The sequence below is a fragment of the Homo sapiens genome, chromosome 8 (assembly GCF_000001405.40).
Source record: "Homo sapiens chromosome 8, GRCh38.p14 Primary Assembly".
NCBI lineage: Eukaryota > Metazoa > Chordata > Mammalia > Primates > Hominidae > Homo > Homo sapiens.
Window position 1 is genome coordinate 64133706 of NC_000008.11, and position 26938 is coordinate 64160643.

Below are 26938 nucleotides of genomic sequence, written 5' to 3' on the forward strand. Positions count from 1 at the left end.
TAATAAATATTAACTGTGATGATAAGAATTGCTATTTAAAGATTCACTAAAATGTTCTTCCACCTCATAATAATGTTTAAAGTAATTTTATGTGCTTCTTTTGTTTTTCCAAAGTACTTTTACATATAATTTCACACTATACTTGGAAAAGAAAGTCACTGGAGACTGACTAGCAATTTTCTTGAATCATTATAAGTTTATTCTATATAACATTTAGAGGCCAAAATAGGACATGTGGGGGAAGTTCTGGGATAATGTTTATCAAAGAACTTCATCATCAGAATCACTCAGAAAACTCCTTAAAACACAAATTCCTGTGCTGTTCCACAGATGAACACAGCACAAATCTCACTGGGACCTTAAGCTGCTGGAGCAGTGCTCATGCACAGTAAGGCTTGAGAATCGACACTTCCTAAACTGTATTTATGAAGACACTTCACATCATATACAAAATTGTTGGCATACAAGACCGTCTGAGGGCAAAATGAGTTATACGGCAAGGTGTGAAGCTCTCTGTCTCTGGAGGAGTCCATGTGTGAGCAGAATGGCCACGGTACAGAAGCTGGGGAACATATTTAAGTATAGGAAGGGTGCCTGATCTAGCTGCATCAGAATTAAAAGGCCCATTCCCACCCGGAGATTCAACTCCAGGCAAAATTTTGTAAAGCACCAACTATGTGCAGGAACTTCCGTAACTGTTTCATATTATTCATTTAACCATTCTGCAAGAGAGGTATTATCTGAGACAAATTAGATTCACAAAAGTTAAAATTTGTCCAAGATGAGACACAAACCTTAGCTTCTCTTTCCAAATTTAGCCTATTTCTTACCATTTCATACCACCTCTTATGGGCATAAAACCATGTTCTTCACGTGAACTTTCCTGTTTTTCGTTAACAGTTTTATCCTCTGGGTCTCAAATACTCCTGTTATTATACAGCAGTTGTTGGGAATTACATGAGTGCTGTCTCTTCCTCAGACTCATTTTTGATTTACCATAATATCCTATGGATTTACTTCCAAAATTGTCTTATTTCTAATTTTATGTCTAGATCAACTTCTATTAACTATTTCATGAGCCTGTTCTGTTACCAATCCACTTTATTTGTGGCCACCAAATTAACCTTCATAATAAAAAAATCTATAGCACATTACTTTATTGATAAAATATATTAAATATGTTCCCATTTCTTACAAAAGAAAATAGTCTGACTTTTTAGCTAAATGAACATTCAAGAATTTCATGGGAGGGCTCCCATTTGTCTTCCAGGCCTTATTTCACACCACTAGTCCCTTTTCTCTACCATGATTTTTGGCCAAATGCAACAGTAGTTCTCCCTTGAAGACAGCTCTCTTTTCCTGGTTATCTTTTTTATTGCTCAAGTCCATGCCCACTTGTCTAATTACACCTCCCAGGCAAGCAGTAGTGTCCCAGATGTTTAGAAGCAGAGGCAGAGCAGAGTAGAAGGACAAGAAGCAACATCATGAGACGTAAGGCCACCAAAAGCTTAGTAGGAATATTGTCAATCTGAATAGGTTAAGCAGAAATAGAAAATCCTTGTAGAAACAGATGGGATAACAGTCTAGGCTAGAAAATAATAAATATCTTCAGTGTAGGGTAGAAGGCAAAAGTTGGAGAAATTTGCTGTCAAACCATGGGCTACTTGGGTCTCAAGCTAAATGAGGAGAAAGACAACATTGCTAGTGTCTTGTTCTATGGGTTGTGATATGGTTTGTATCCCTCAAAAACTCATACGTTGAAATCCTGAGCCCCAAGGCAATGGAATCAGAGGGTGGGGCTAGTGGGAGGTTGATAGGTCATGAGGACAGCCCTCATGAATGGTATTAGTGCCATTATAAAGGAAGCACAGCAGAGGTCCTTTGCCCTCTCTGTTATGGAGGACACAGCAAGAAGACAGCTCTCTATGAACCAGGAAGCAGCCCTGATCAGATACCTTTATCTTAGACTTCTCAGTCCCCATAACTGTAAGAAATAAATTTCTGCTCTTTATAAGCCACTCAGTCTATGGCGTTTTGGTACAGCAACCCAAACTAAGACATTTTGTTTAGTCTAAACTTTTTCTCCTTTAATCATTCAAATTTCGTGCCCTTGATATCGTACCTATAGAAAGCCCTGCCAAGTAGCCCCCATGTACACAATCATTCCTCTCTCTGGATTTTCATAGCATGCTATTCTTACTTTTGTGTTATTTTTAATTCCACCTATTTTATTGAAAGCTCCTTGAAGGCAGGAACCACGTGATTTTTATCTTTGACTCTGCCACAGCAGAGTCTGGCTAATAATTACCTAACAATCTCTCCTTGTTTGTGTTTTATTCCTCTCCTTTTTCCTCCCCAGCATCCTCATTCACAAATGAAGAAAATTGGGTCAGTGGACGCTAAATGATTTGTTTCGGGAAATCATCACTATGAAGTCTGACTTGCCTAATCATTCTGTACCAAAGAACAATGTTTAACTCAGTCTCTTATAAAGCTGTAATGTTTTACAATACATGGGGTAACTTTGAAGAAATGTTTCCAAGGGATGAGGATAATCAATCAGCTTACTGAAGTACCTGAAGAATTTTTTTAAAAATATGAAAGAAATATTTCTTATGAAACTCAATGGCTATAATCACATGGTTTTTAAAAAAAATTTTAAATATGCATAACATATATTCAGTCCTACATATTATTAGCAATTCAGCATCCAAAGTCAAAAGCTGAAATTTCATAACCTGCTTTGCTTTTTGCTTGATAATGCTTGCCTTGTGGTTTTTGAAACCCCATGACAGATTTAGTCGTCTCTCTCTCCCCAGGAGCAAAAGCAGACCTAATTTCTTTCTCTCGATTACACTCTTGGTTTAGTCATCCATCAGCTACAGGCTTGCTTGCTCTTTCTCACTCACCTGCAGGATATTATTTCATGGAACCATCACACCATCCAGTAAAGCTATTTGTACAGGTAGGTTCTATTACCTAAAGAGTGAATCGTCAGTTGATTTCTTCAATTTTGAATCAGCAATGCCTCAGTGCTGGCTAGTGTTATTAGCAGTAAATGAAGTAACAATGTGACCCAAGGAGGCAGAAAAGATGGCTTTAGCTATGCTATGCTTAGTAAAAGCATTGCTACTAGTGAACACTCCAAAAAAAGTTAAAGACAAATTATGTTAATATTTCAGAAGTGGATTTAACTTGCTCTCTAGGTCAGCCTTCCTAAAGTATGCATTGTTAAATATGTTTTCTAAAAAATAAAGATTCCACTGCAAAATAATTTTAGTAAGCTAGAAACTGTGTCATATGGCAGAAAACTTACAATGCACAATTTTTATATATTGGAAGTTCCCAGTTATTAACATTGTTTATAGAACTCCCTTTTCTGATAACACTTCTGATGTATACTCCCAGGAACACACTTTGGGAGACAGTAACCTAGCTTTTTCATATTATTACATTATGGATCATAAAAAGATGCTGGAACTGATAGAATGAACACTACAATTGCATTACCCATGAGAATTTCTAAGTCACTTAGTGCTCTCTACAAGTTCTATATTGAGAGGCATGATGCAATGCATTTAAAAATGTTAGAAGTCTTTATTCGTGACATTGTGTTTTCAAAATAAAATGTTAAACTACCTGATATAGCATAGAAGAGTTTTTCTCTTTTTACTATCAAAATATGTCATAATAAATAGATAATTTATGTTACTTTTGTATATTTTGAAAAATCATATTTACTTTTGTATGTTTGTTTTCATATGAAATTTATGTATTTATTTACTATTTTATTTTATTTTATTTTATTTTGTTTTTGGAGAGGGAGCCTTGCTCTGTCACCCAGGCTGGAGTGCAGTGGTGCAATCTCAGCTCACTACAACCTCCACCTGCCGGCTTCAGGTGATTCTCCTGCCTCAGCCTCCTGAGTAGCCAGGATTACAGGTGCCCACCAACACACTTGGCTAATTTATTTTTTGTATTTTTAGTAGAGATGGGGTTTTACCATGTTGGCCAGGCTGGTTTTGAACTCCTGATCTCAAGTTATCCACCCACCTCGGCCTCCCAAAGTGCTGGGATTATAGGCATGAGCCACCATGGCCGGCCAGATTTCATATGAAATTTAAAGTATACATTCTGGCTGTAAGTCATAAAACATTTTGCACAAAGTTGCATGATTAATTACACCAAAGAATTATTAAATATTTGCAGAATAAATACATTTCTTAATTAAAAATTACTGACATTTAAATACTACTGTATCTTGCCTTTTAATGCCTACTTTACTTATCTTTTACATATGGCTTTTCTTTTATGTTATAAAATAAATTTTATTTTGTAAATGTTTTCTAAGGTCCATTAAAAACAAAACAAACCCAACCTAACTGAGTTAAGTTTCTGGAACTGGAGGCACTGTGACTCATAAAATGTGTTTATACACATGTACATATATATATGTAGTCAGAATACAATGGTTATAGTTCATTGTTATAAAAGTGAATAGACTTCTGGTTCCAAAATGGCCATGTAGAAATAAGCTGACTTCACTCCTCCCACCCCCTGGAAAATAAAAAACTAATATAGAGTGCCAAGATTGTCACCAGCAATATCCCAGAACTCAAATATGAGGAAGAGACAGTTCAGATCACAGAGAAGTGAAAAAACTTCAAGTATACAATAAGAGAACCAGACTTCCATATTCATGACATCTGTCTCCCAATCTGCTTGGCACCAAGTGTGCAAAAATTTTTCCCTGACTCATGGTTTCCACTGTAGACAAAGTGAGATTGAGGTGGACAACCAGCTTCCTCAACACCTCGGCTACCCTGGCAAAAACTCATCCTTGTCCGAACCCATAGGAAGCATCACAAGTACCCAAAGGGAGATATATCTTTGAGGATGGTCAGAGACAAAAAGGAGTGGTAAAACTACCATCCCGAGAGTTTAAAATTCTGCCCTATAACTTAGCCAAAGGAGATGTCAAATTACAGTGGCCATTCAGCAGCACTGTACTGTAGGAGGTAAATTCCCGCAGGTTCCTGGTGCACAAACGCCTAGCCAGTCTTTTCAAGCCACTGGGATACCCCGCTTTTGGAACTTCCCCATTTGGAACAGACAGTGCTTTCATTGTTTACTAGAGGTGAGGAGAACCTGGGATTAAATCAACACTTAGAGCTTAAAAGGAGGCAGCAAGCTAGGGGTAAAGACTCTTTAAGAAAATATATCCAGTAAAAAACAAAACAAGCCAAATAGGAAAGACTGAAATAAATAATTCACCCTCCAGTGCAAAGATACAGACATACATCCAAAAAAACACAATAGTAAATAGAGAACTATGACCTCCCTAAATAGACATAGCAAGAAACCAGTAACTGACCCTAATGAGTTGGTGATATGTGAGCTCTGTGACCAAAAATTCAAGAGCTATTTTAAAGAAATTCAGTGATCTCCAAAAGACACAAAGGCAACTTGAAAGTTTATCAGAGAAATTTAACTACAAGATTGATATAATTTTAAAAATTCAAACAGGAATCTTAGAACTGAGAAACACATTTGCTTAACTGAAAAATTTATTAGAGGTTCTCAATACCATAATAGATCAAGCAGAGGATGGAATTGGTGAGCTCAAAGACAGACTATTTGAAAAATACATGAAGAATAAAAATGAAAAAAAAATAAATAAAAATGTTGTATACCACTGACAAGATAATAAAAATTACCTCAAAAGAAAAAAATCTGAGAATTATTGGTGTCTAAGAGAGAACTGAACAAAAGCAAAGGCTAGAAATCTTATTTAAAGAAGTAATAATAGAAAACTTTCCAAAACTTGAGAAAAAATATAAATATCTAGGTACAGGAAGGTCAGATAACACCAAATAAATTCAAGCCAAATAAATCAACTCTCAAAGGTCAAGGACAAAGAGAGAATCCTATGAGCAATAACAGAAAAGAAATAAATAACATATAAAGGAGTTCCAATTTGCCTGGCAACTGACTTCTCAGTAGAAACCATACTGGACAGGATGAGAGGAATAACATTTTCAAAGTGCTTAAAAATAAAAACCGCCATCCAAGAATATTGTATCCAAAAAAGTTATCCTTCAACTACAAAGAAGATTAAGGTCTTTTCCAGGCAAACAAAAGCTGAGAGAATTTAGTACCACCAGACCCGTCTTATAACAAATGCTAAAGAGAGTTATTCAGTCTGAAAGAAAAACACACTAATGTGCACACACAAAAAATTAAAGGTATAACACCCACTGGTCAAATTAAGTACGTGGACAAAACCAGAATACTCTGATACTGGAATTGTGGTATGAAACCCATTCATAACTCTAGTATGAAGCCCAAAACAAAACTATCAAAAGTTATATTATCTACAACAATCTGTTAATAAATAGGCAATATAAAAATATGTAAATTGAGAAAACTAAAAGGCAAAGTGTGGGGAAGACGGAGTTAAAACATAGAATTTTGTTTTGTTTTTGTTTTTATTCTTTTCATTGTGATCTAAGGTAAGTTGTCGTCTCTTTAAAATAACATGCTATTATCTATAAGATATTTTTTGCAAGCCTCATGGTAACCACAATGCAAAAACTCTAATAGAAAGGAATAATTTTAAAAATGATACCAAGAAAAAGTAACTTAACCACAAAGAAAGACAGTAAAGAAGTAAGAAATGAAGACAGAGGTTATAAAGCAACAAGAAATAAAGCAAAAAAGTAAATGGACTCAATTCTCCAATTAAAAGGCATAGAGTGGCTGAAAGAATAAAGATTTGACTATATGCTGCCTATAAGAAGTTCACTTCACCTATAAAGACACAGACTGAAAGTAAAGGAATGGAAAAAGCTATTTCATGCAAATAGAAACAAAAAAGAGCAGGAGTCACTATATGTATATTAAATAAAATAGACTACAAATCAAAGACTATAAAATGAGACAAAGAAGGTTACTATAAAGTGGTCAATTCAATAAGAGAATATAACAATTATAAATATCTATGAATCAAATAGAGGCATTCTCAAGTATACAAAACAGAAATTAATAGATTTAAATAAAGAGATAGATTGCAATTCAATAATATTAGGGGACAATAACAGCCCATTCTCAGTAATGGACAGATCAGCCAGACAGAAAATCAACAAAGAAACATCAGAATTAAACTACCCACTAGACTCAGTAGGCCCAACTGACACTTACAGAACATTTTACCCAACTGCTGCAGAAAACACATTTTTTTCATCAGCACATAAAACATTTTCCAGAATAGACCATATCTCTGGCCACAAAAGAAGTCTGAACAAATTCATAAATATAAAAATCACATGATGTACTTTCTCTGACCACAATGGAATAAAACTAGTAATCTATAACAAATAAAGCCTCAGAAACTACCCAAACACATGGCAATTAAACATTATGTTCCTAAAGAACCAGAGGGTCAATGAAGAAAATTTTTAAAAATTTGAAATGTCTTTAAACAAATAAAAATGAAAATACAACATACCAAAATGTATGGGATACACAAAAGCAGTACTAAGAGGGAAATTTATAGCATCAAATGACTATATCAAAAAAGTAGAAGCTTTAAATAATCAACCTAATAATGCAGCTCAAGGAACTAGAAAAGCAAGAACAAACCTAAGGCAAAATTAGTAGAAGAAAAGAAATAATAAAAACCAAGCAGAAATAAATGAATTTGAGATTAAAAAATGCAATCAATAAAATGAGAAATCACTTTTTTGAAAAGATAAACAAAATCAACAAAACTTTAGCTAGACTAAGAAAAAAAGAAGGCCCAAATTAATAAAATCAAAAATGAAAAAAGAGACATAACAACTGAGAGCACAGAAATACAAGGAATCAAGCATAGATAAAACAGATAAATTAATGGACACATTGATTTAGTTTGGATATTAGTCCCTGCCCAAATCTCATGTTGAATTCTAATCCCCAGTGCTGAAGGTGGGGCGTGGTGGGAGGTGATTGTATCATGGGGGCAGATTTCTTATAGTTTAACACCATCCTCTTGATGCTGTTCTTGCAATAGTGAGTTCCATGAGATCTAGTTGCTTAAAAGTGTGTGGCACCTCTCCTCCCTCTCGCTCTCTTGCTCCCATTCTCACCATGTGATGTGCCTGCTCCCCCTTTGCCTTCTACTGCTATTGGAAGCTTTTTGAAGCCTCCCTAGAAGCCAAGCAGATGCCACTATGCTTCCTGTATGGCCTAGAGAACTATGAGTCAATTAAGCCTCTTTTCTTATATATTACCCAGTCTCTGATTTTTTATAACAGTGCAAGCACAGCCTAATACACACATATAACCTTCCAAGATTGAACTATGAAGAAATAGAAAACCTCAACAAAGCAATAACAAGTAATGACATTGAAGGTGTAATATAAAGTGTCCCATCAAAGAAAATCCCAAGACCTGATGGTTTCACTGAAGATTTCTACCAAACATTTAAAGAACTAATACCAACATATTCAACATAGTACTGGAAGTCCTGGTTAGAGCAATTAGGCAAGATAAAGAAATAAATGCTATCCAAATTGGAAACGAAGAAGTCAAATTAGCCTTGTTCCAATATGACATGATTTTATACTTATGAAAACCTAAAGACTCCACCAGAAAACTGTTAGAATGAATAAATTCAGTAAGGTTTCAGGATATAAAATCAATATACAAAAGTCAGTAGCATTTATATATGCCAACAGTGAACATTCTGAAAAAGAAATCTAGAAGATAATCTTATTTACAATAGCTACAATAAATAGAAACTACCTAGGAATCATTTTAACCAAAGAAGTGAAAGATCTATAAAAGGAAGACTATAAAATGCTGAGGAAAGAAATTAAAGAGGACACACAAAGGGGAGATATTCCATGCTTAGGAATTAGAATTAATATTATTAAAATGGCAATGCTATCTAAAACAATCTACAAATTCAATGCAATCCCTATCAAATTCCATTGACATTCTTCACAGAATTAGGAAAAAAATCTATAATTTATATGGATCTACAAAAGACCCCAAATAGCTAAAGCAGTGCTGAGCAAAAAGGACAAAGCTGCAAGCATCACATTACTTCACATCAAAATTTACTACAAAGCTATATTAACCAAATCAACATGGTATTGGCATAAAAACAGACACATAGACCAATGAAATAGACTACAGAACCACAAGATAAATTCATCCATCTACAGTGAACTTAACTTTGGCAATGGTGCCAAGAACATACAATATGGAAAAGACAGTCTTTTCAATAAATGGTACTGAGAAAACTGGATAACTATATACAGAAGAGAAACTAGACCCCCATCTCTTAATATGCACAAAAAATCAACCCAAAATTGATTAAAGACTTAAATGTAAGACCTGAAACTATAAAACTACTGTAAGGAAACACTGAAGAAATGCTTCAAGACATTGGTCCGGGCAAAGATCATTGTGTAAGACTTTAAAATCACAGGCAACCAAAACAAAAATAAACAAATGGTTGCTCGTCAAGCTAAAAGCTTCTACTCAGCAACATAAACAATCAACACAGTGAAGAGAAAACCTGCATAATGGGAGACAACACTGGCAAACCATCCATCTGATAAGAGATTAAGAACCACAATGTATACAGAGCTCAAACAACTCAATAGCCTATAAATAAGTAAGTCAATTAAAAACTGGGCAAAAGATCTGAATAGATATTTCTTAAAAGAAGAAATATAAATGGCCAACAGCTATAAGAAAAAAATGCTAAAATCACTAATCATCAGAAAAATGCAAATCAAAACTATAATGAGATATCATATCACCTAAGTTAAAATGATTTTTATCAAAAAGACAGGTAACAACAGTTGATGGCCAGGATATGGAGACAGGGAAACTCTCACACACTGTTAGTGGGAATGTGAATTAGTATACCCACGATGGAGAAAAGGATGGAGATTCCTCAAAAAACTGAAAATAGAAATACCATATGATCAGTAATTCTATTGCTGGTTATATATCCGAAAGAAAGAAAATTAATATATAGAAGAGATATAGCACCTCTAAGGTGATTGCAGCACTATTCACAATAGCCACATTATGGAATCAACCTAAGTGCCTATGAACAGATAGAGAAAATGTGGTATCTATACTCACTGAAATATTATTAAGCCATAAAAGTAAATAAAATTTTGTCATTTTCAGCAACATAGATGGAACTTAGGGTCATTATGTTAAGTGAAATAAGCCAAGCACAAAAAGACAAATATCATATATTCTCATTTGCACATGAGAACTAAAAAATTGGATCTCATGAATATAAAGAGTAAATCAGTGGTTACCAGAGATTGGGAATTATAGGGAAAGGGGGAGAGGTGATGAGGAGCAGTTGATTGATGGAGTCAAATATATGGTTTGATGGAAGAAATAGGAGCTAGTGTTTGATAGATCAGTAGAGTGACTATAGCTTACAATAATCAATTGTACATTTCAAAATAGGTAGAGATGAATAATTCAGATGTTTCTAGCATAAGAAAAGGCAAATATTTAAGATGATGGATATCTTAAGTGCACTGATTTGATATTCATCAATTATATGAATGTATTAAATTATCCCATGTATCCCTAAACTATGTACATCTACTATGTATCTGTTTTTTTGTTTTGTTTTGTTTTGTTTTTAACAGAGTCTTGCTTTGTCATCCAGGCAGGAGTGCAGTGGCACAGTCTCGGCTCACCAAAGTCTCAACCTCCTGGGCTCAAGCAATCTTCTCCCCTCAGCTCCCCAGGTAGCTGGGACTACAGGTGCACACCACCATACCTGGCTAATTTTTGTATTTTTTTGTAGAGATGGGGTTTTGCCATGTTGCCCAAGGTGGTCTTGAACTCCTGGACTCAAGCAATCTGCCTGCCTCAGGCTCCTAAAGTGCTGGCCCAATTTTTTTAAAAGGGGAGAAAAAGCGAATAAATTCTGGTACTATAAACACAGAAATGTAACAAGAAAATTTTATCATAAACGCTATACTATCCAAATATTCTTTTGAAAATTATCCTAAACCATAAGTATCTCCTAAACTCTGCCATCAGAAGGCTTTGTAATCCATTCTTTATCCTTCATCCTACCTCCTTCAACTACCCTTCCACTGTAGCTCTTCTTGCTCATATTCATCCATAGTAAATCCTGCATAGCTTCTTTCTGTTTTCTGAGTTTCCTTTTACCTCCCTGCTCCTACTAGCAGCAGTTTTGCCTCCTACATCATCACAATAATGAACTTGAAGTTGTCTGGGTATCCTTGCTCCTTTTTCATGCATTCTGGCCATTCTTCCTCCCCTAAAATAATCAGCTTTGAATCTCATGTGATCAAACTATACCAATCATCTACCAACTCTCCCTCTTTTATGTAAAGATTTTGCCTGCTGGATCAGGTCCTTCTCTTCAGCACTATTTCCATCTTACTTCTTGGTAACTTCAGTATCTATGAAGATGATCCTTCCAATATTCTGGCCTCTTGTTTCCTTGGACTCCTCCCCTCCAACGATCTTCTTCTTCACCTTACTTCAGTCACTCACTTCTTGGTCATTCACTAAACTTTGAAATTATTTTTTCAATGATTTCACCCTTTCCATAACCTTAATTCCAAGTTTTCTGCTTTATGACCACTGCTTCCTATATCCTCAGTCCATTCTGTCTACCTCACTGACTCCAACAATCCTTCGGTCCCACAGGTACTTCCATCTCATGAATCAGAACACCTATACCCAACTCTTCAATTCTCTTATTGCCTCATCTTCCTTTTTAGTACACTTGCACTCTATGGTTAATCTTTTAAATTATTTCTTCACAAACACTTTACTCCTTTGCACCTCCCTTACATTATTACACTAGCTTAAGAAAGTTCCAGACCTCGTTTATTTTCATTTTTAAATTTGGAAAGGAGAGCTTCATTTCTCATAAAGGGTTGCAGCCTGTAGGGTGACCATTCTGACAGGCTGGGAAGCACAGCCTCTGGCTGGAAGCCAAAAGCAGACACTTTGAAGGAGGGGCAAATGGAACAGGAGTTTATGCTGAGCAGCATGGACAAATATACATATTCAATAACCTATAAGAAGAGTCATTAACATTTATGAAAAAAGGAGACCTGCATGTATGCAGTCGAGCTTTTTGCCTTTCCACGGCACCCATGATCAAAAAATGGTGGAGTCAGCATGATATGAGGATGGAGGTTTTGGCCCTCTGACATCAAAAGGTGAAGCAGAGAATGCAAAAACTCTCACTGTGCATCCTCTGTAATCTGGCCAGAACCATTCTATGGTCAGTGGTCTCTTACCAGGCAAAAAAAAAAAAAAAAAAAAAAAGGGGGCAGCGTGAAGTGGTTGGTTGATACCAGTAGTGGTGTCTTTTGAAAAAGCTTGTTCCCAATAGGCTCTTAGGGAAGACAGCCTAATTGTGGTTAGCAAGGGAAGAGGTATAATGAGATTTGTCTGACCCCTCATTCTGTTGAGGCTGAGAACTTAGTTTTCAAGATTAATCTGGGGTCTCTTTGGTCAAGAGATAATCTGTTCAGTCAGTTGGGAGGCTTATAATTTTATTTCTAGTTCCCATTTTCCCCTTTTTGGACAAGATTTGTCAGAGGCAGCATCGATGGGCAAACTTTTTTTTTGGTTCCATATCAGTCCTGGTTTAAATACAATTTTCTACCCCTGCGTGTCTACATCCACACAAGAAAAAAAAAGAGCACAAGATTTCTACTGACCAGCATAATTTTAAATTAATGCCCATGAGAATCTAAAGAGGTTCTTATTGCTGGCCAATAAACATACTCACTTTCCCAAGTCTATTCACTCCAGATAATGATTTTCTACACTTTCCTTGGAAATATTCAGCAGCTTTCCTCTCCACCCCTTTTCCTGTTCAGCATCTGTCCTTACTTGCTATTTCACTAAGAAAATATAAGCATTCCAAATTCTCATCACTATATTCATCGGTAATTCTGTCTTCTTTCTTGTTGTTATAAACTGTCTGTACCTACAAACAACCCACCTCACTTTGGATTAAATCCTATTTCTCTTGCCTATTCAAGAACATTGTTCTAGAAATTCTTCCTCTCTCTCATATGTTAACAACCATTCCCTCTGTACTAGATTATTCCCATCGGCATGTAAATATATTTCTTCCCTCTTCGAAACAACAACAACCATCACAAAACAAACCTACTTAATCGTATTCTTGGATGTCTCTTCTTCCCTATATAAACTCACACCATAGGTGTTCCCATCCAGTGTCAAGACTACGTACCATGTATATATCCTGAGAACTGCCAAATTTGTATATTCAATCCAGAGTCCCCTGAACTCCAGACTGTTATATCCAAACCATTTATATATTTCCTTTTGATGGCTAACTGGCTTCTTAAACCAAACACAGTGAAAGCAAACTCCCTTTACTCCCAAACCTGCTTTTCCCACAGTCTTTTCTATATCAATTGTTGATACTCCAATAATATTAATTGCTAAGGCCAAACACTTTATCTTTGATGTGTTGTTTTCTCCTACACCACACATCTATTCCTTGAGCGAATCTCATGGGACATTAAAAATATATCGACGTCTTTAGCAGTGGCTCACGCCTGTAATCCTGGCACTTTGGGAGGCCGAGGCGGGTAGATCACGAGGTCAGGAGATTGAGACCATCCTGGCTAACACGGTGAAACCCTGTCTCTACCAATAATACAAAAAAGCAGCCAAGCGTGGTTGCGGGCGCCTGTAGTCCCAGCTACTCAGGAGGCTGACGCAGGAGAATGGCGTGAACCCGGGGGGCGGAGCTTGCAGTGAGCAGAGATCGCGCCACTGCCCTCCAGCCTGGGCGACAGAGCAAGACTCTGTCTCAAAAAAAAAAGAAAAATATATATATATATATGTATATCGACTTCTTACCATCAATACTTCTATCACCCTTATCCATACTATCATCATTTCTCCCTGGATTATTCCAATATGTTTGAAATTGGTCTTCCTGTTTCCACCATGGCCTTCAAAGTCTATTCTCAACACAGCAGTGAACCAATCCTGCTGGAACATAAATTATGCTCAACACAACTTATCTCACTAAGTAAAAGCCACAGTTCTTACCATGGCCTTCAAGTCACCACCACCACCCAGCGCTGTCCTCCCCCAAGCCTTCTCCTCTGACCTGATTACCTGCAATCCCCACTTCTGCTTCAGTTGTCTGATCTCTTCCAGCTTCTCCTACTGGCCAGGGCACCCTCCACCAAAGCTTCACATGCCTTCTCTCTGTCTAGAACATCTGTTACTCACACATCAACTTAGCCTGCTTCCTCACTTTTTTCAAATCTCTATTCAAACACCATGTTGTAAGAGAGACCTTCTTTGGCTACCTTCTTTAATTTTTCAGTCTACCCTAGGGTAACTTTTAACATCCATGCTACCTATTCCTGCACATTATTGAGCACTTGCTAATGTATTATATCATTGATTTACTTACAATGTTTGATTCTCTGCCCCTTCTCCAGTGTAAGCTTCAAGAGGGCAGATCTGTGCCCATTTTGTTCAGTACCTTGCACATAGCAGACACCCAATAGACATTTGCTGATTAGCAAAAGTTTTATTTACTAAAACTTTTGTTAAATGGGCATTTCTAAAAGTTTGAAACCTGTTTGACAGTGAGATCCATGTTGCAATAGTGTCTAGAATAGAAAACAACAAGAACAATGGTGCTGCAATTTTATTAATTAAAAATGTGAGCGAATAGGACAGGGTTGGGAATAAGATTATTCTGGTTTTTAGTTTCAGTTCTTGCAGGAAAACCAGTAGAAGCCCTGTGGCCTTGGAGCTTCACTTTCCTCTTTTGAAATACAGGAGTAATAAAACTGGATGTCAAAGTGCAGTTATCAGAGTAAAATGAGACAATAAATTCATTCATATTTTCATTCAAGTGCAACAAGCATTGATCAAAGTATTGCTGTGAAAGTATTTTGCAAATGTGGAAAGCCCAATATAAATATAAGGAAATGTAATTTTCAATAGAAAAACTTTTCTGTTGAGTGACTTAGAACAGCAATGTGTGTTAAAAATAATGACTAAATGTATATACATTGTCATTCCAAACCACACAATTTGGAATCTAAAGTCTTTATTGATGAAATCCTATTTATCTTTTGAAAATATTCTGGAAAACTGAAAACCTAAAACTATGAAAGCAATAAGTGACATAGGGTGTTTTACGCACCAAAATTAAGTTTTAGTAAATTGGTAATTTTTTAAATTAACCAAACTTCAAACTAAACATAAAGCCAACACACATTGCCAATTCACAACAAAATAAGTTCATGAAGTTTTGAACTAAAACATCTAAATTTTTCATAGCTCTACCTTATTTAAAAAGTATCATATTTATGCCCTAAATCATATATATGGGAATATACAGAATATGTACACTCAATCCCATAGGAGGTGAATCTGGCCGTTATTTTCAGACTTCATACTGTGAAGTGGAGGACTTCTGATTGATTGCGACAAAATGAGACCATCTTGAGCCCCTTTTTCACTTTTGTCTTATTTAGGTCAAAGGATGAAATCTTTTGAGTTTGTCTGAATATCAACTCAAGTGAACACATTTTTCTTCTCTAGCTTTCATGTTATAACAAGAAATAACTTTAGTGAGAAGATTTGAATAGCTCAAGTGACTATATTAAAATTTATCTTGCCGATTCTTTTTAATTTGCAACAGCATTTTATACACTAGTAATGTCTTTCTAAAGAACTCTTTATTATTTATGTGGGAAAATGGAAAATGTTAAGATCTTTAACCAAAGTATAAAGTTTTGTAATTGAAAACAAAGAACCTTCAAATAAAAATTTTCAACACTGTTTTTATTTATATAGTATGCAGACATTGGATCCATTTTTTCTTTTTTTTTTTACACATAACAGTACATGAGGCCATTGACTCTTTAAAAATTTTTTTGTGAAAGTCATTAGCCATTTTAATAAACGAAATGAGAAGATAATGCAGAAAAAGTTATTATCCTCAAATACTTTAAAATTACAAATTATTAATAGCAGCTAAAACAGTATTTGTTAAAGGATCCGTCAATAAACCAGATGAAGAGAGGTTTGAAATATTTTATGTAGCTAGAAAAATTATACCATTTTGTAAAAGGAGGATAAATTTATTTTGAAGTCCCTGTTTATACTTTTAAGTAGTAACAAGGTGTACAATCTGATAACAACAAAAAAATAGTTTGTCAATGCTATAGTTTGAGTGTTTGTGTCCTCTCTAAAATTCATATTGAAACCTAAACCCCAATGCAAGAGTATTAAGAGATGGAGCACTTAGGAAATTATTACACCATAAGGGCTCCACCCTCATAGAGTCAACTGGTGATTTATAAAAGGACTTAAGAGGTGAGTTGGACTCCTTCCCTATCTTCTGCCATGTGAGACCATAATATTTGTCCCTTTTTTGCCCATCTGCCATGTGAGGAAACAATATTCCAGCTGCCACCTTGGAAGTAGAGCCTGGGCCCTCACAAGGGATGAATCTGCCAGCACCTTGATCTTGGACTTTCCAGAATGTTGAGAAATACATTTATGTTGCTTAAAAGCTATCCAGTTTCAGGTATTTTCTTATGGCAGCACCAACAGACTAAGACAGTCACACTCCCTAGACTTCAAGGATTTGATGGTATCTAGCATCGGGTTTATTACTTTGTAGGTGCTCAGTAAAAAGTAATTGAGTGGAATTGGATAGATTTTTCTTGGAAAATCACTGGTTTTAGACACGAAATGCTAGGCTCTAAACAGGATAGATATTTTGCTGCTTCCTCCATTTTGGTCACTGCGTAGAGAATAAATAAATAAATGAATGAATAAACACACAGCAATACTTTGATCAAATACAAGCATCCTTCAGGCTATCCAATAGGAGTATGAGACTATGAGCTCCTTGGTTTGTGCAATAAAGTTAACAGAATACATTCAGAAGCCAGCTTCACTGACACTCTTGAAGAGACATCATGAGATGCTGATTTTTCTGGAAGCTTGTTAACTCTAATGACTAAACCAAAAGTAGAATACAACTATCACCTGATTGAAGAAAAAAGACATTCAGATAGATAGATAGATAGATAGATAGATAGATAGATAGATAGATAGACAGACAGACAGACAGACAGGCAGACAGACAGACAGACAGACAGACAGACAGACAGATAGATAGATAGATTGGATGGATGGATGGATGGATGGATAGACAGATAGATAGATAGATAGATAGATAGATAGATAGATAGATAGATAGATAGATAGATAGATAGATAGATATACAAAGCAATCCAAAGACAACTGACCCATGTTAACCCAAGTGATATTATTCTTCAGACCTTTTTATATGTGATGCTTCAGCTTCTCAGAAGTTCTAACATAGGCGAAGGTATGAAGGTGGAGCACAGCAACTGTAAAATAGTAGAAAGCAGAACCTCATATAAAACTACAGAAAACTACACTGTATTTTACAAAGCCTTCTATGTCCCATGAAGAAGCAATTTCTCATATTTTTGTTTCATCAAGAAGAACTTGAGTATAAAGGGCTTAAAACCAATTCTACTTGTTAAGCAACAAAGGGTATCATAACTTTGACATTATGAGATTCAAAGTAATTGAAACTATTGTGTCTTTCCTTTAACTTTCACTTGCCTTTCATCATGCCAAAGTCTGACAGCGTTTCTGGCTACCTTTAATTTACTCTGAAATAATGGAATCTTGTTCGTGTAGCATAGACTAATAATCTTTTCTGTACATTTCTACTACCATGTGCTTATTTCAGGTTAAACAGAAGACTACAGGAAAATCTTAAAAAGGAGCCAATTCTACCCATCTCACCCCCATATGCAAACATGTGTCTCTCCAGACACTGCAGGAACAACACAGTCAATCTGTTCATAGATTTTTCTTGTTAATGAGAAAAGTAGACATTGCTGAGTAAGAAAAATGAGTGAATTTCTAGAATTGCAGATTAAGAGCAGGCGTAAAAAGGCCTCTGCTCCCTTGTGGTAAGTGCCACCAGTTGACAGGAAGCTTCTCATTCTGCAGCATTCCAAATGATTTGGTTTCTGCCAGAAAATAACAGCTGCTGCAACCCAACTGTATTCTTCAGTGTCTGATGAACACCCATAGACAGCTAATTTCCATTCACTTTGCAACCTGCATGGTTCCAGAAGGTGAACATTAGAAAGAGTGGGCTAGTAGAGATTTGGAAAATGTAAAGCTGGATACTTCAGGGTACCAAATGGTGCTTCGTCTAATATCTCATAGATGAATGAATTATGTATGTACATGTATTGCATATATATGTCTCTCTACATATACATATGTATGTTTTATGCATGCATATACATATATAATATCTTATCCTAGAGATGATTTAAGGCAGCTAAATGAGCAATGAATTTCTCTTTTTATTTTCAAAGTTGAATTCACCTTCCAGCAAAGCTCAGACATCTTTCTGTGGGGAAGTTCCTATGAATTCACAGAAACAGAAAATGTGGCTATAGTTTTGCCTATTTCCTCTCTCAGTTAAGGTAAATAAGTGTTTCTGCCACCAAATTCCTATCTTAATAAGGAAGGTTTTGGGTTTGTTTTTAAATGTCATAAATCCCTAGACCAAGTTCAAATCACTTTCAGCATCTGGCTCCTGGTCTTCTCTGCCAAATGAGCTTAAATTCAATTTTTTTCCGCCCAAACCATAATCATTCTTTTGAGTTGTCCAGGTACTTTTTCTTTTCTTTCATGTGCCCGCAGTGAAATGTTGTCCCTATTGTGCATCATCATAACTTTTTGCCGATCCATGCCACCGCCACTGCTGCACATCGTTGGCAAGCCCCTGAGCCACACTGATGGGCTAGTTATCTCCACCAGTGCTGGGCTGAAGCGGCCAGAGCTGATTGTTAAGGTTCATGAATTCTGGGAGCCAGCAGATATCACACTGTCGTCTCGAAGTTGACCATGGCTATGGTGGGAGCATTTCCAACTTGGAAATCAGCATATGCTACAAATCAAAACTTTTGCTTTTGTTTTCAGAGAGCTGGTTTAACAGCACACTGCTAATTGACCATTGTTTTTTCCAAACTAAGACAGTATTTTACACTTTCATGTTATGAAATTAGATTAGCCAGTTCCAAACACCTCTTTTAATGTGTGACACTGATGGAGGTACCTAACTTTCTCAAATATTAGTTTCATCATAATGTGGTAATATTAACTCCTACTTCATAGAGGTCTTGTAAATATTAAATGAGATGGTATATATGAATTAATTATAAATTAATTGAACACACAACACTCAATAAATGCCTATTGTTATTATCCTTGATATTGTTAGTATTATTTCTTCTACATGTTTTAATTATTTTAATAAAATAAACATTTGCATCCACTCCCATCTACTCCTTGCAGGCAAATTCTCACTTTCTTCATTCAATAAGTGTAAAAATAATATATTTTCTGCAATTTAATGATAGATAAATGTGGCAGCATGAAAGCAATTAATGAATTGTAGTAAAATAACCAATTTTAGAAAGCAAAAGGCTGCTTATGTCGCTCTCATTTCCGTCTTCCATTGAGTAAGGGTCATGAAAGCTGGATGGACATATATCATTTCTCCATACACTTCTATTCTAGCAGCAGTAAAAAAAAAAATCTCACGGATATCTTTTCTAAGCAGAAGAAAATATTCACCACACACTCATTCATTTGTTCATTTCAATTTTAAGCACGTATTATATTTGGCAATAAGCTAAGAATCTTGGGAAAATAAAATAATAATAACAATTACTAAAATTAATTGAGCACTCGGTGTGCCAGGAACAATTTAAAGTATTTCACAATATATGTAAGATAGGCACAATTATCATCTTTATTCTACAAATAAAAACTGAAGCACAGAGAAGTTAAGTAACTTTGCTGAAGTCCAAAAATCTAGAAAGCAGTGGAGCCAGGATTCAAACTCAGAAAATCTGCTCTTCCAGCAAGAATTATACTGCCAATTGAATACCCACCTAAAAGAACTCCAAGCTGTAACCCAAACCATTAGGCCCTTTTCAGTGTCGAGAACCTGGCACCAGCACTATCCCTATCTTTTGACAGAAGAGAAAATAACTACAGAGAACCTTGTTTGAAAATACATCAAGGAAGAATGGAGTCTATACAATATTCAATAAACACGAGAGTACCCTCCAATTATGTCTACTTAAATTTCAGTAAGCTATCTGTAGGAGAAAAGATCAACATTACATGCTGATTGACTTATCCATTTTCACCCCTCCAACAATGTGTGTGTGTGTGTGTGTGTGCGTGAGCTTACATGTGTGTGTATTTGCATGTGTAGTGATGGCAAATTACGTTTGAGTCATATGCTTGGTAATGGGGAACCATCTCTGGACCAGACAAATATGATTCCTTCTCTCACAGGACATATGGGTTGGATGTTCAACTGACTACACAGGTAACCAACTAAGTAGTATTGAAATGAGGCTTCAGAGCTTTGTTACTTCAAGTATGATCCCTGTGCTTCATGTATCAGTCACAAAAGTAAGTGAAATATACTGATTTTGTTAAGGATGCCACACAATGTGATGGGGTTAGAAACACAAAATTAGCAAAGCATATGTTAAGCAGGACGAGGTATTTTTTTAGTAAGAAGGACAGAAACATCATCACTCGAGAAGTTATTTAGAAGTTGTTTGAGGAGTTGTCTAGAAAGAGGTGCCATTAACACCAGACTTTATCTGACTACAGATGATCAATTTATCTCTCAGTCATCAGGGAAAAAAATGTAGCAATCTAATATAGGGGAAGAAAAATATCTTTTCCTTTACCTATCTTAGATTCATGGCTGAGGCCCCAATAACCAAAGATTTACAAAATAAAAGTATGCAAATACTTAATATGAGTTTTACCTGACATGAGAGCCTTCATAAGGAAAGGAAGACCCCCCAAAATGGGTAAATCTGAGTATTTTATAGTAGGTTTGATGAAGAGTAGGCCATTATGGAGAAATATGATAGGGCAAAAGGGTGTGATCTAATGGTAATAAACGGGGGGAAACTTAGCAAGCTTGTTCGTTCAGATTCTTCTCTGTGTTTCTTCATCTTTGGAGACAAAGATGCTTCTTTTCTTTAGATAAGAGAGAACACTTCTCACATGAGGTTCTTCTGATCTGCTTCAGGGGAGAAAGATAGGGGAAAGTGAGAGTGAACTTTCTGTTTCCGCCCTCTTTCTCAAATTCTTTCACTTTAAAATATTCAGTATGTCAAAGTGCCATATTTTGGGGTAGCATGTTCTGAACCCCATCACTAGCAATCTCAATGCCCATTTAGACAAAACCTTGAAGACATTCAACATGTTCTCCCAAATCAATCCCTAACCCCCACCTATGGGTCAGGCAATATCCATGTTTAATAAAACTTGCTTGCAACAGACAAAGACTGGATAAAAACAAATGCATTTTGGGGCATACATGCCTTCTTCCAAGGTTTTTTGTTTTGTTTTTTCTTTTTGAGATGGAGTGTCACTCACTCTGTTGCTTAGCCTGGAGTGCAGTGGCGTGATCTCACCTCACTGCAAACTCCACATTCCGGGTTCAAGACATTCTCCTGCCTCAGCCTCCCGAGTAGCTGGGATTACAGGAATGCACCAGCACACCTGGCTAATTTTTGTATTTTTAGTAGAGACAGGGTTTCACTATTTTGGCCAGACTGGTCTCGAACTTCTGACCTCAAGTGATCCGCCTGTCTCGGCCTCCCAAAGTGCTGGGATTACAGACATGAGCCACCGCCCCGGCCTCTTCTAAGGTTTTGAACTTTCAAGTGGGTATCATAACAATATACTGGAACAGGGATCGCCCACCTCTTTGATTTCACTATGTGAATGGGACATTTAAATTTTGGATCCAATTCTAGTGTATTCCAGCTGTCTTATGACTACAGATTAAAATTAAATAGATCCTGAAGTTCTTTTACTCTTAGGGCACATTACCAAACACAGAAAATGCTGAATAGAAAAAAATGAACAAGTAAATGAATGAATGCATGACCAAGTAGATGAATGAATGCATGGCTCACACTTCCCTGTGACAGGCCAGAATTCTGAAAGCCTCTTGTAAGACCCATTCCAAAGGTCTACTCTAAAACAGGCATGTCCCTTACTCTCTCACTTTACCTGCCTTCGGCTTCATCTATTCTTCCTATTTTTTCTTTTTCTTACCAGAAGTTGCAATGTGTTTAGGTTGTAAGGATATTCTGTAGTTTGATGTAAAAATATTAGATACCTCTAAATCTAAATGAATCACCAGACAATTGGTAGCTCAATTCAAATGGTTTGTTTCATCTTCAGCACTTCTGGACTTCTATTCCATTCTCCATTAAAAAAAAGGGGAGGGAATCTGGGATTCTATACACATCTCAGAGATATACAAATTTGGTTTTTGTGTGTGCCCTTTATTGCAATGTTATCACCATACAGGCAGAGATTATATCTTTCTCCCTAGCTATGTTATCTGCAATACCTAGCACATTGTATAGCCTCAACTATATACTCCAAAAATATTTACTGAATAAGTGTACCATTTTCTACTCCACTACTTATGATTTCAACAAAGTGCCCTTGGAGATTTCTGATTCCTAAATAACACAAATTAAAAAAGAACAAAAGAAGAAAGAAAGAAACACAAAAAATGTCAACTGAACAATTTGAAGCTAGTATACAACTCTTTAAAGTAGTCTTAGGGGTGCTGCATACTATCCTGGAATCCTGCAGTATAGGACTAAGGATAGAAGGCCCTAGAATAGTGCTACCCAAAGAAGTTTCTGCAGCAATGGAAATGTTCTATATCTGCACTCTCCAAAAGGGTAGATAGACACTGGCAACATGAGGACATTGATTTGTTGACATATGACTAGTTTAATTAAGCAATAGAATTTATTTTATTTCAGTTCATTTAAATTAGAACTAAAACATGACTAATGACTACTATATTGGATAGCACAGTTTTAGGTCACATTGCTGATATTTAGGGATGTGTTTGGTGCCAAAGAACAATCTGTAATCATCCAAACCAAATACTTTGAAGTAGGACTAAGGTAAAAATGATGCTAACTAACATTTTGACAAAATTATTTTTATTCCCCTTTAACTGGAGGATAGCATACTATCTTCTGAAAAATAATTCTTATTGACTTGAAGTCTTTAACGAAGATAAACAATAACCTCCAAACTAAATAATTTAAACATCTTTAAAATTTTTTAAAGGTCAGCGCAGTCCTGTCTGGTTGTCGTGCTAGCCTTGTTGAAGGCACACAGGAGAGGAAAGACGTTGCCTATGACAATGGTATGGCAGTGATAGCCAAAGTGGTTGATGACCAAAGCATTGCTACAGAACGCTATATTCTGCCAAATCCATGAATGTATTAATGAGCAGGAAATGTTGAAAAGAAGTGAGAAAATACAATGATAAATGAAAATGAGAGAGGTGAAGGTATACAAAACAGAGATGCCTGTGATCATAGTAGTCACACCCCCATAAACGTGTGTGCAGTGTTGTCCACTCCATCGTATCAACTTACGGAAGTTTGTTAACATCAAGCCCTAAGACTGCAATTCTCTTAACATTATTCTGCAAGTGTTGGAAGTGGGTCAAAACTAACAACAGGGATAGAAGATTATGGTGCCCACGAAGGTACAAGTGAAAAAAAAAAAAAAAAGGAGCATAGGGCTTCCCAATCAGAAAGGGAAGGCAGACTCCACAGCCCATGTGCTGTCTGTTATGGGGTGTGGGTGTTTGTGTGTGAAGTAATCATTTTAATTTCAAACTGCATTGCTCCCTATTTCCTGCTCTTTAGCAGGGGGTCTCTATCCTGTTCAGAGGTAACAATACTCTAAACACAAAGAGGTATTTCTGAGTCTCTCCTAAAAGTGGCAGAGCCAGAACCCTCCCGCAGGGCTGAGCTCCCCTTGCCTACCATTATTCATGGGCAGGCGGCTCGGAACCACTTCCACCATCTGCCTCCAGCTGTGTTGGCATAACAGAAAGTCAAATATGCTGCAACAAGCTCCAACCCTGAATTTATTGTAAAAGCCACCATTTCTATTTCATTTGGCTAGTAAACAATCTCATACTATTAGGATGGTTAATTATAAATAACAGTCTAGCCTCTTTTAATTGAAATCTACATTTATTTAGAGCCTTTTCATGAGACTAGAATTAAGAAACAAAAAGCATTAGGAATGAATAGAAATGGACCACACTATTCGAATAGAAAAACCTCAAAAGCTAAGCATTAAAGTGCCCCTAAAAAGTAAAGATACTTTACACTTTAACAGCATTTTTCTCTGAATTGTCAATGTTAACTCTTCTATCATTCCTGAAGTGAAGTAATGGTTATCAATGTTATTTTGACAGTAAAATCTATCTGCAGAGATATGCATTACTGAGTATGCATAAGGTATTTTAAAATAAATAAAGACATTCATAGAAATTCATTCTGTTATTAAAAATTATTATTGATCTGCCTATTATGTACAAGTAACTGAGCTAAAAGCTCAGGCAATAATTTTGAAAATTTTCACTCCAAGAAACAGTAAAAATGTATTTTACATTGTGACACAGTGTATGCTCAGAAATATATTTACAGGACTCAAAGAAGATTTCATGAAACAATATTTAACCTTAATAAGTGTGAGGCATTCTGATATTTTCTATCCTACTCTAATTAATAACTTATTATTATAATCTACTTCATACAAAGTGATCAACTCACTATATCAATTTTAGAACCCATCAATGGGTTGAAATCTGCAGTTTGAAAAACAATATTAGAGAGAGCAACATAAATCATACTCCATTTTCTACCCTTAAAAAGTTTATGATGAAACTGTCCCTACAGGGTTGACAAGAATTATAATACATGCCAGATTCTGGACAGAAATATAGTTATAATTAAGCATTAATCAAGTTGCACTTTAGCCCATTTCCTTGTTGCCAAAAGTCACACAGCAATAGATCCTGATCATTTGCATCTCCATTATTCCTATAGGTAGGATTTCTGACATTAGGGTTGTAAGACTATAAAAATTGATTTGCATCCCTATTGTACCTATAGACAGGATCCCTGACATTAGAATCATAAGTCTTTTGTTTAAGGATTGTTTAAGATGTTTTTCAGATCCCAAATTCTAGCAACCAGTTTGAAGACCCCCACAGAGTAATGAGAGCTGCATGAGAATACAGCTTCTTCACCTCTCTGTCCCATGACTTCACCTTGTACTCTTTGACCAATCAGCAATCTCCACACTTTGGCACACTCCACAACCCTTAAAAACTCTAGCACCAAACTCCTTGGGGAGACAGATTTGAGGTTCCTTCCCCGCTCCTCATTTGGTGACCCTAGTGTTAATCCTCTTTCTCTGCTACAGCAGAGAATACACCAATATCTTGGTGTATTGACTTGCTGTGTGCCTCAGGCAGTGAACCTATTACAGTTACAATTATCAAACAGCCAAAATGAGACAAAAAAATAAAGAGGGATAATAACAATAATAAGAAAGAAAACTAAGCAACTTGAGAGTTTAAAATGAGGGAGATACTGCCATAAAACAGAATATTGCAGACATCATTGTTGAAAGAAGTGATAGGAAGTAGAAAGTTGAAAGAAAAGATACATAATACTCAGTCAAGAGGAAGGTTTAATGGACAAGCTGATGTTTATGATGGAACTTGAAAGCAGATAAGATTATGAGAGGCAGATATACAAAAGGGTAGAAATGATACTCCAGATAGAGTTCACAGCATGGGCCAAGGCACACAGATGAATAGGCAGTGGAGGGGTGGATTCAGGAATCAGTGAGCCAGCCATTTTGGCTACAGAATATTGGGTAATCTGAAGGAATAAAAAAGAATCTGCAAAGATAAAAGGTACCTTGGGTGAATGGGTGAATATTATTTTAGAATTTAATTGGCGATGAGAAAAAATCTGAAATTGCTCATTCATCCATCCAACCATCCATCCACCCATGCATTCAATGAGAACTTATTAAGTAGCAATAGGCAATGCACTCTGCAAGCTACAAAAGAAAATGAGCAGGAAATAACCCCTCACCCTTTACTTTGTAGGAAACAAAAATACGCTAAACCCAATATGAGTGTAGAAAACTAAAATTATGCCACCCCAAAATATGCCTCTTTGGCCTAAGGCTTATTTTGAGCTGATTATTTTGAGAAACTGCAGACACAGGAGAAGCTCTGAAAATAGAAGTTACCCTTTGGTAAGATAAATGTATATTTATAAAGGAAACCTCCATTTGTAAGTGTATCTCCCTCTCTGTACCTGGAAGAGAACGACTCTAAATCTACTGACTCTTATCAATGGAGAAGGCACTGACTTAAATCTGCATAAAAACCTTATCCTTGTTTAAGGTGATTTTCCTGGCCACCTCCTAATAACCTAGTTTTGCCCTCACCCTTCTTTATTTCAGTAGATGATGGTATTTAAGCTTAAATTAGAAGTCACCTCTTTGAGATTTACTCATTTTGCATGTGTGGGTACGTGAGGTACACATGTTAATAAACTTCTGTTTGTTTTTCTCTTGTTAATCTGTCTTTTGATACAGGGATTTGTCCCAACTAAGGACTATGAAGGTAGTGAAAAAATTATTTTTTCCTATCCCACAATTGTTTATATTGTTGTAAGAGCTGTAAAACAATTAAACAATTAGCAATCACACAATGAAAAAGCCATTGAAGTAAATTATAGTAGCACCCCTTATCCACAAGAGATACCTTCCAGACCCCTTGGAGGATGCCTGAAACCATGGATAGAGCTGAACATTTTATCTACTATGTTTGCTTCCATACATACACACCTATAATAAAGTTTAATTG

The 26938-nt window shown here is 36.1% G+C and overlaps 1 long non-coding RNA gene across 1 annotated transcript in view; it reads right to left on the reverse strand.

The window, feature by feature from the left end:
* Positions 1–26938, reverse strand: part of LINC01414 (long intergenic non-protein coding RNA 1414) — a 511616-nt gene that overhangs the window by 276763 nt on the left and 207915 nt on the right. Inside the window, exon 3 of the long non-coding RNA NR_125826.1 lies at positions 17388–17459. This is a non-coding gene — a long non-coding RNA (long intergenic non-protein coding RNA 1414). The remainder of the gene's footprint in view (positions 1–17387; positions 17460–26938) is intronic.